The following is a 10,746-nucleotide window of genomic DNA, read 5'->3' on the forward strand; positions in this document are numbered from 1 at the left end:
CCTCTTGCCTTCCATGCAGAGAATGCCTCTCCCCTATGCTCAATGCCAGGCTGGCAGAAGAGGATGTAGTGCACCAGAATAAAGGTATGCAGCTGAGCCACTGCCTCTAAAATTGTCTGGCCCCATCTCTCTCTATAGATAGATGATAGATAGATAGATAGATAGATAGATAGATAGATAGATAGATAGATAGATAGATATAGATAGATAGACAGGTAGATAGATAAATATATAGATAGATACAAAGACACACACTTCCTTCCGCTTAAAGATAAGTGAGGACTGGAAGTGGTCTGCTCCTTCCAGCACCCCTTTCCCAATTTCACCAATGCTACAATATCCCAAATGCTACAAAACTCCTCATGGTTGAGGCTTAGGAAAGCAAGATGTCTGGCAGCCCCACAGGGTAGTGTGTACTAACACGGGTTGATGAAATTTGCAAGAGAGCTAATAAAATTACCCAACCTGATGACAGAGACATTGACATTCCTACTTCCTGGGCTCCTTGCCCTTTGTTTAGAGTCAGATGGCTCCAAAACCCCAGCTCACTTCCACACTGTCTGGGGATGGGTGGCGACAATGTGCATTTGTTCCATGTGATTAGCTATTCAAATCTTAAGTCAAGGTTGATCATTTGACCTCTCTGGATTGAACTAAATTCATCACCTATAATTTTATTAAAAAGCCCAGTGGCCATCAATCATAATGAGAGCATAGGGAGCCAACATTTTCCAGGAAAATGTGTCAACTTCATGGGCACATGGTGCTTCCACCATCCCTTTTCTATCTTGAGTTGAGCAGGCATGTACCTGGGGTTTCTTCTGAGGATACAAGGTCAACGCAGCACCCAAAGTGTGGTGGCACTTGGGAGGAGGGTTTTTTTTATTGTTATTATTTTCCTTGACTGGATGAAATGGTGTCAGTTCTAAACTAGTTCCCTACCTTTGGACTAGTGAGATAATTTGGCAACTGTGTGTCCCAGCCTTAATCCAAATGATATTTCATATAATTTCAAAAGGTGAAATCAGGATCAGGGCTGCTCTTTACCATTTCTGATAATGCTGCTGTAAATCACTTTGAAATCACAGTATATCAGCTTGTACATATGCAGAAGTATTCATGTTATTGTCTGCTGGTGAAATAAATACAACAGCAGTTTCATTAAAAAATTTAAGAAGGGTAAAAATTTCCAGTGATCTTTTAAACCCAACTTGGCATTAATTCTTTAAAACTAAGGTTGCAGAGTCCCTGTTTTTAATGTTTCCTGGTCAAAGTCGATTTGTTCTTATACCTGAAGCAGGTGATGTTTCTGTAGAGACATCTGAATGACAGCGGGAGTGAAGGACAAATCTAATAAAGCCTAATAAAGCGTGAGCACCAAAATGTCATTAAACTTACAAAGATGAGACTCAAAATCACTAAAAAGGTAAATGTCTTCATTAGTCTGATCTCTGAAGACTGTCGAACATTTCATTAATTTATAATTTATGATTGTTTGACAAATATTGAAAAGTATGTAAATATGAGCAGGATAATGTATTTTCTGCGGGAGATGAGGAAATGACCCAAACTGTACATGCCTGCAAGATTACACACAGGACCTAGCTCTCTGTTATCAAACTGTGCCGCCCCTTTAGCCAACATATTGTGCAAGTGACAAGTGAAATAGTGCAGATAAACCAATGGTTTAAAACGTAATAAAGACAACAGCCATTTGCATTTTTTACATTTTATTACAAAGGTAATTTACTATGACACATTTCTGAATGTAATTTATGAAAACATGTTAAAGCAATTACATGGTGTATACAGCCCTCGGAGCTACAAAATTCAGATAAATAATAATATTATAGATCTTTAGAGACTTTCACTATTGAAAACATATCATAAAGGGAATCTTTTATTTAAAAAATGGTTTGTATAGAAGAAAATAATGACATTAAAATTAAAACTTAAGATAAAATCTTGAAGAACAATAGTAAATGAATACTATGTTTTGCTGGAGTTGCAAAATTAAATCTTCTTGATGACAATTTGCTTATTTCACAGGGTGTGTTATCAACAATTTTTTTTTCTTTTCTGGAATTGTTAGGTGCAAAGTATTAAAGGCTTCTTGGGAGGGAGATACACGATGAATGTATGTTTCCTTTTTCAAATTTGTGAGGTAATTCCTTCTCTCCATTTCTCTTTTCTAAAGTACAGGGCTGTGCTAACTTTGAAAAGTAAAAGATGTCATTATGATCAGTCCTGTGTGAACCAAACTTTCAAGCACACCAGCCTGTCAGGAGTTATCAAAATGGGAGAAAATTTCCTGGAGGAAGATGAAAGAAAAGTTGCATAATAAAGCATAAAATGAAAACTAGAAACATTTCATGTCTCCTCCCACTCCCCAGATCAAAATTTATATTGTAGTGGTTCCTTAATATGTTCTAAAACTGGTAGTGCATGATTAGATACTATAGATTCAGCCTCGAACTATTCTTAACAACTTTTTTTTTGAAAGGAGAGAATCTTTCTTTCTTCTGTGTTTATAGGTACAATACTTTTCTTAAACATTTTAGCTTTAAAAATCAATCCTAATGCAAGCCTGAAATGGGAACTTTTCCTGCCTATGGGGCACTGCCCTGAGTTTGTTTCGTAACCTTGAGATAATCTGCAGGGCCTTCTGTACCTTTATCTGAAATATCCCCTAGGGAACATTACCTGCTGTGACAGACTTAAAGCCACAACCCCCCTCCCACTTGTATTAAATCTCTTCAACCTAAGAAAACAGTCCCTAGACCCAACTTAGATCCAAATTGCAGTGGCATTGGAAGCGTGTGATAGTTGCACTGGCTTCTTCTCTTTCAGTTGGCTATCCTAGCAGCCCACAGTAACTGGCCTCCAAAGTTTCACCTTCCTCTGCCGTTCAAACATTCAACATCCTCAAGTGTGGGTGTGGATGCAAAGGCACTGGGGCCTTTGAAGCATGTCCGTGCCCATAGAGCCCATTCAGCTGCGAAAGGTGGGCCATCGCTAAAGTTGGACCATCGCTATGTTCAGGTAGCCAACTCTTTCTTTGAAAGAGTGGGCAGATGAGTCCCAGATCTACTGAACCGGACTCCTGAAGTCCTTACCATAGAATCTTGCTCTAACTTGCCTCTTTCTGCTGGGTGTTTTGCGACCCAGCTGGCCACGCTGCTCACGCTCCTATCACCCTCAGGCAAAGCTAGCGCCCCTCTCCCGTCAAGGATCAGGCAAGTCGGTATTGCTGGCGGACAGACAGGCAGCTTGAAGGGCTTGAGCTCCAAGATGCGATCACTGACCCCCTTTCTTGCCTTTCATTGGCGTGAGTCATCCTTCTATTTTGCATTAGAACCTATTCTCACATTACCACCAGGAATTGCCCCACCACCTATCCCTAGCCCAGGAGAGGCGGGGGCCTAAGTAAGTCTGAGAGCTCCTGACCCTAGGCGGGTCTCAAAGCCTCCCCCATTACCCTGCAAAGCTCTATCGGGCAAGGGGGTGGGCTGTGAGTTAGTTTCAACCAGGGTTAAAGTCAGTCCTCGGCTCCAGCCTTTGTCTCTCTTGGAATGTTTAGGGGCTGCATATGCTTTTGTGTTGCAAACAGCAAGCAGGATCCCCAGGAGTCCCTGACCCCGTGCCTTGGCTGGAGCGCCGTTTCCCTGGACGACTGTGGCTGGGATGGCCTCCCGGCAGTAATCTTGCGCAAACACCCTGCCACGCGCAAGGACGCCAGCTCAGACACGCAGCGCCCCGCGCATACAAAGGAATGTTCCCTCTTTAAAAAAATTAAAGAAAAAGAAAAGAAAGAAAGAGGAGGAGGAGGAGGATGGGGGAGAGGGAGAAGGAAGAGGAAAAAGGGGAAGGAGAAAAAGAAGGAGGGGCAAAAGAATAATAATAGATATGAGAATGCATTTCTCAGATGGTAAACTACCCACGAAGGGGGAAATGTAGTGGGGAGGAGTGTTGAGTAAAAAGAGAAGAGGAGAGGGGAAAATGATAACTGCTGAGGTGTCAACACCAATAGACAAATAATCTCCTAATAATAAACGAAACAATGAAATGGCTGCATTGTGTCCTATTAAGCTTTCCGTACATGACCCCATCTATACCTGCACCTCCATGCTTTGATGACTTATAGTATATGCAAAAGCAAACTTTCCCTCAGTGTTTTTTTTTTCTTCTTCCCCTCTACCTGTCAATCTTTTCCTTCCAAACAGTCAGATGGTTTTAAAAGAAGGAAAAAGAGAGGAAGAAAAAAACCCTTTACCATCATCACCACCCAAGAAATGATAAATAGCATCGCATAGCTAATCGCTGGAGGGCGCATTTACCAATTCATAATCATTTATTCTTGGTGATGTATGGCTCTTACTCCTAAATCTGAAAAGCTTCTATCTGAAGGTGTAAATAGCTTTTTTTTTCTTTCCTGCAGTAAACCTTCCTGCGTTAGCAGTGATTGATCTCATGTACAATTCGTCCCAGAGTGCTATTTTACAGGGGGAACACTAGCTTTTGGAGATTAACTGGGGAGTCTGTTACATATTAATGAAGCCTGGAGATATACTAACGTTTTGGTAATTTAGTTATTTGTGTCTATAGCTATCGTCGTTATTTTCTTTTAGACCCCTGCGGTTGCTATCCATCGAATTAAAAAGTAGTCCTTAGAATTTTTTTTCCACTGGCAACTACATGCCATTTAATGTGAAAAACAAATGTTGACTTCTCTCTTGAAGGAAGTGTGTTTCTTGGCAAGACATCAAAGTGTTTTATACTGTATTAGTGGGTTATGTTAGTTTTCTTACCCAGAGCCTGATCTAAAGTAATAACTAAGGAGGAAGAAAAAAGAAGGCTTAGACATCTCTATACTAGAAAAATTATTTGATCTTCTATGATAAAGGGAGGAAGTTAAAACGCTAGGAGAAAAGTGTTCTTGGCAAGAGGGTCCTTAAAACATGTGACAATCCAAACTGAATCAATGTTGGGAGTGGAGGTGAGGGAGGAGGAGCAGAGGTTGCTCATTGATTTGCAACCCGATAATTAATATCCCACCAAATGAGACATCAACGTCATTAATGCCTGTGTGTTCCTGGGGAGAGACTGTGAGTGAATTCCCATCAGGAATGAAAGCCAGATCCGACAGAGGTTGCTTCTCCGCCCAGTATAAAATGGTATTAATCCTTTGTTTTCCCGTAGGATTTTTATGGGGCGAGAGTTTTCCTAAAATACTCTGCGGCCTCCCACAAAAGATCTGGGGCATTGTCTGTGGGCAGGAAGCCCCTCCATATGCCCCCACAACTCCCTTGGCTCTTTGGAGAATGCAGGACTACAGCCAATTGAGGGCGTGGTGTGAAGTGGGAAGAAAAGTTTGCAAAACGCCATGATCAGAGTGCAGTGAGCGCCAGAACCTGCCTTGTGTAAGAAAGGTGGATCACTCCTTTCCACTTTCATGACATCCAGAAACTGCCTGATGAGTTCCAGTTAGTTCAGGGAATCTGCATCACATCTCTAAAAGACACATCCTCCCCTTGGTGCCTAGTATATGAGTCTTACCCCATTGCCCTTCTGACTGTCTACCTCCCCCACCCACTAAAAAGGGGGGCCCTCTGCATTCCCTTTTAAGGGGCCCTGTCGCCATCCTTCTCCCAGAAGCCCAGATCTGGAGCTCTGGAGAACTGGGGCCTTCTAGCCCAGTGTTTGCTTAGATGGAAGCCTCAAGAACCAACAGTCTTTCTGGAACCGTGAAACGCTGAAGCGTGATAGCGCCAGTTGGCCAGGACGCGCCCCTTTTGTTTTCGGGGGACGATTTATGTCCTTTATAAAAATGTGGTTTGGAAAAATAGAAAGGGCCTTGAAAACGTTGTTACAATGAAAAAGGGACAAATTAGAAGACATTTTCCGTGATCAAAGGAGAGCGGGAGAGAGCGCATGGGCATTCACAAAGCTTGACTTATTCACTTCCCTCCTTTGCAAGCCAGGGCAACAAGCGTGTCCCCCATTGACAAGGAGCCCTATTCAGACTGCAGGTGCGAAGTGGGCCGGCGCGCCCGACCACATTATGTCAAGGTTGTTGGAGATTAGTGTTCAGCCCTAATAACTAAAGCGCTTGATTTACATTGGAAAAAAGCCCCCTCAGCCGTGAAAACAAAATCTTTGAACGCGTGATCATTGCGAGGGCGGCTGATATCCTAATACGTGCATTGTTCTCGGCCTGGCCCAGGCGCGCCCCGGCCTCCTTAGGAAGGGCAAGGCCTGGGCTGCTGGCCGTGGACCAGGTCCCCAATCACACACCCTGTCAGGGTCTGAGAAGAAAAGGTGATGGGTGGGGCCTGCTTTAGTGAGGCCTAAGGAAGGCAGAGTGTGGTCTTCCCTGAGAGTCCCGATCTGGGATCCGAACTGTGGCAAAGCCTGAGACAGGAGAACAGTGGGGGCTGCAGGGCCTCCACAGGTCTAACACAGTCAAGTGTTCCAAGGCTGAGGCAGCTCCAGCTTTACTATGGTGGAACAGCTGGGGAACTTGCCTTGAAGTATTGTGAGTAAGAACAATTTTACTCACAGGTGAAGAACACTTCGGGGTAACCAGGGAGCTGAAAAACTTACAAAGGACTAATGCACCCCCACTGGGATTGGCTGCCTCCAAAACCACTGTGGAGTGTTCAGGCCAAATTTATTTCCTGCAAGAAGAGCCCACTTCAGAAAAGCCCAGAACAACCTGCATCCCAGGACTTGGGTGTTTTTTTAGATTTGTTTTTGTTGTTGTTTTTTGTTGTTGTTTTGAATTTTTTTCTGTTTCATTTTCTCAGGAATGGAGGGGTGGGGGTGTTCATTTTGGTCTTGGGTCTGTGTGCCCCTGTATGCCTATTTCAGGGCAGATTTTATTCCCTCATCTACTTTCTGTGCCTCCTAGACACCACCCTCCCCCACCCATGAGAAGGGATCCAGAGAACAAGAGATCTGTAGTTGGGACTGAAGAGCAGGCATTTCAGTATGGATATGTATCCATTCTATCCATTCTAACTGCAATATCTTTTGTGAAAGTGAAGCTATTAAGGCAATTTCCATAAGATCCGTCCTAGAAGAAAAGGTTCTGTGGGGACAAGGTGAGAAAGCTGTTAACTATTGTCTGGCCCTGAAAAGGTCGTAAGTCAGAGCCTCAGTAGCTGACCTGTCAGGGGAAGGTATAAAGGCTTTATTCATGCAGTTGCCGCAATGTTCTCAGCTCTCACAAAAGTGTTTTTATGATTCGATTTTCTTACCTCTTTTCTTAATTAAAAAGCTGAACCGTTAGAATAGCACCTGCATCGGTCCTGACAGTGCCTGCATACTAATTCCAGAGTCTTTACAGCTTGCAATTATAACATAAAATCAGAGATTCAATAAAACAGAAGGATTTTGCTCCCAAAGCCCTGCTAATCCCCTTTTAAAAGGGTCTGGTGAAATAATTCACAACAGTTTCCGGAAGTTGGATTACCATTCCTTTTTTTTTTTTTTTTTTTTTTTACTTTTTACAATGAAATGATAATTCACACTTTTAAAAAGGCTGTTTTTCTACAACAGGTTTTTATTTTATTTTTTTTTATAAAAGAAAGTTTGCCAGCCTTGGGGGCAATAGAAAACATTTCACTATAAATTTCTTACTCACTAAATGCAGTGGCAGGAAATGTAGGGAAAATTTTGTGGTATGTTTGAAACAATTTTATCAGGTGAAAATGGCTAAAGTGTGATGAGGAACAGCTTATGTGCATCAGGCAACTCACTTCTCTCAGAGGAAATAAACAAGCAAATCTTTTGGGGGAAGATGCCTATTTTTCATGGCTTAGAAATATGAACATTTTAGGAAAAACATTTTTCACCGAGATGCTGGGTGTACTCTTTAAAGGATTAATGAATACATTAATGAGTTCAAAAGCTAGAGGCCTCTGTTAAACCCTAAGTAAGACCTTGCAATGACACAAATCAAGGACCTTGAGGTGTCAGTAGTTTCTCTTTAGTTTTTGGCAAAGAATACTATTCTCATGTGGCTAATCCTGTCTTACATGGGCCAGCCTTCAGTCATAGACAAGGGAAAACCAAATCATCCTTCTGATAGCCTATATACATCATCTAATGTTGTTATTGGTGGATTATTTTTTCTTATTTTTGCAATTCTACAACTACATGTCACAGCTATGATGATAGGTAATTTTTAAATTTTGCTTTATTCTCTCTGCAGACATTTCCCAAGGCTGTTCAAGTTCAGGATCATGTACAGCTTTGCTCACCTTGTTTTGAATTGCTTTCCCTGCATTTTGGCTCACGTAGTCTACACTGGCTCTAAATGAGGGGGGGGTGGGGAAGAAGGCAGGACAAGTTTCAAAGTGCATCCTCATGGTCACATTTACACTAGATTGACCTGTACCCATGCCCTAAGGTACTTTTTTTCTTTCTCTTCTTATCCATGCAGTTGCTTTGGATGTTTGCAAAGCCACTGGGCAATTTGGACAATTCAGGGACAAAACTCAAAACCTCCTCAAAATGTCTACTGAATTTCTGTTTTTCCTGAATGACTTTGGGTTCTGAGCTCCAAAACATTCCTAGGAATCTCCCGCTTGTTTTTCTCATTGGAGATATTTGGGTGAAAAGGCAAACCTATCCTGATGCCTAGAAATGAAGTTGGTGAAGTACGTAATTTTGGGATCTTCAGTCACTTGTTGATCAAGATGTTATTAATTTTTCTGAAATGAGGATTTAGTAAGAAAAAAAATCATGATTGTGAAAAATGTCCTGATGCCTTCTTGGGAAAAATGTACTTTTTTGTGACTTTTGCCCAAACACCCTGTCCTCAGCCCCCTAGCTGCCTGCCCCCTCTCTCAACTCGCATTTTCCCACCTTACACACCCAAGACTTGAAAAGCCCAAACCGCAGAGGCTTATGATAAAATAAATTGACACAAGGCAGACTGAGCCATTGTGTTTACTGAAATGCCAGTCTTAACAAGTCATGGGGCGACATTAAGGCAATTGGTTTCTTCAGCTTCGTTCCTCACCAAAATAAACTCAATTCTCTCTAATTTTTCTTGTGCCTTTAAAAACTAATTTACGTTTTTGTCTCAGTGCCCGGGTGCCCTGGGCTCTGGAACTCTCAGAGAATAAACTTCTCAGAGAGTTAGTCTCAGAGAACAAAGTGACATTGGGGCTCTCAGCTATTCTTCGGATTGCCTGAAGGAGGTGCACGCTGCTATGGAGTTTAGGGCTCCTGAGGGCGCCACAGTTTCTGCTAGGGACTGAAAATATTCACCTGATTCAGTGAGGAGCTAGGGGAATGTTTCTGAAAGACAGAATACCAAGATAAGTAATAGTAATAACAACTAGCACTAGCAAGTACATTCTAAATGTTTAAAGGATTATCTTATTTAACACTCAAAACAAACTTGCAAAGGAGGTTCATTTTAATTTCATTTTACAGATGAAGGAACTGAAGCACAGAGACGTTTCATCATGTATCCAGGGGCACAGGGACAGTAGGTGTACAAGAGGGCAGACTGCCTCCTCTTATCCAAGATCTTTTCACCAGGCCAGCACAGTTTCTACCTGGTGCTCTAATTAGGAATAGCGAATAAAAGAGCAGGATGAGGTGTAGGGATCATTAGCCGACTAAAGCGCCCCCAAGCTTCCCTGAGCATTGTCAGTTCAGGGTTGGAGGCGGGTAACTTCCCCAGAAAGCAAATGAGATAATTCTAGGGTGAGGCTAGCCAAGGGCACTTGGGGACCAGTAAATTCAACCCTCTGTCAAAGGTTACACTATTCAACTCTGCCAAACAATAATGACTCAAAGGAAATCTCACCTCTCCTAGTGGCTGGGGCACTGAGGTGTCTAAGAGCACTTTCTCTTTCCTCTTCTACTGCCTCGCAATTAGAACTTGGAAGGTTCAAAGACAGGCCTTTGCTTCTCCAAAACTCTTTCGCGGAATGTCAAGGACAGCGGAGTCTCCCGGGCACCCTGTCTTTTCTCTGCATTCTAGGGAATGATTTAGGCCTCAACTCCTGGGCGCCCTCTCGTGCAAGGCTTTCCTGGGGGAATGGGAAGGTGTCGGTAGAAGGGCTGGTATCCTCTCTGGAGCCATGGGCAGGCACAGCTGTGAAGACTCCAGGCAGCAGGATTGAGCGGAGAGCTCCGAGCCCCAGAAAAGCCTTGACTGGAAGTCTCGAGTTCATTCCTAATCCCCACCTGCTCCTCACCACAATGCTCAGTCGGTTAAAGAGCTTTAATGAGTGCTGTTTCTCAAAGAGGCCGGGTCGAGGAGAGGCCCCTCTAACCTGTCCGCGAGACGGAGGAAGGGGGCCCTTTCGCGAAATGAACGGGAGGGGGCGCTAACTCCAGTGTTAATGCCCAGGGACCTCCTTTCTCAGGGACATGTCTTGGTTTCCCCTCATGGCCTCCTTTATCACACCTGCGCGTCTCTCGCGCGCCGGGATCCTTTCTCCCAACGTTTTACCCAGGACTGCAGCCCTTGCCCTACGAGTTGAGTCTCTAGTGTGTTATCTAAGGAGACCCAGCATTCCCACCCCAGGAGTCGTTGTCTTCCCACTCCATCCAGCCCCTTGCTCCAACCAAGCCCACGGGAACCAACTCCTCAGGAGTTAAAAAAAAAAAAAAGTGTCAGGCGAACTGCTCACTGAGGTGGCTCCTGAGCAGTAGGTGCAGAGGCAACAATGTATGCGGGTATCTAGAGGTCCAGTGACCACGCAGTGGAGGAGGGAAGAT

The 10,746-nt window shown here is 43.4% G+C and overlaps 1 annotated feature.

Annotated features, from left to right (window-relative positions):
• Positions 2,525 to 3,405: an enhancer, noted in NCBI's record as "OCT4-NANOG-H3K27ac-H3K4me1 hESC enhancer chr3:147094929-147095809 (GRCh37/hg19 assembly coordinates)". NCBI's record gives its function as "activates a minimal SCP1, AML or CMV promoter by ChIP-STARR-seq in naive H9 embryonic stem cells {active_cell/tissue: H9 hESC(naive)}" and the evidence as "EXISTENCE:reporter gene assay evidence [ECO:0000049][PMID:30033119]".

This window comes from Homo sapiens, chromosome 3, assembly GCF_000001405.40.
Source record: "Homo sapiens chromosome 3, GRCh38.p14 Primary Assembly".
In the NCBI taxonomy this organism is placed as follows: Eukaryota; Metazoa; Chordata; class Mammalia; order Primates; family Hominidae; genus Homo; species Homo sapiens.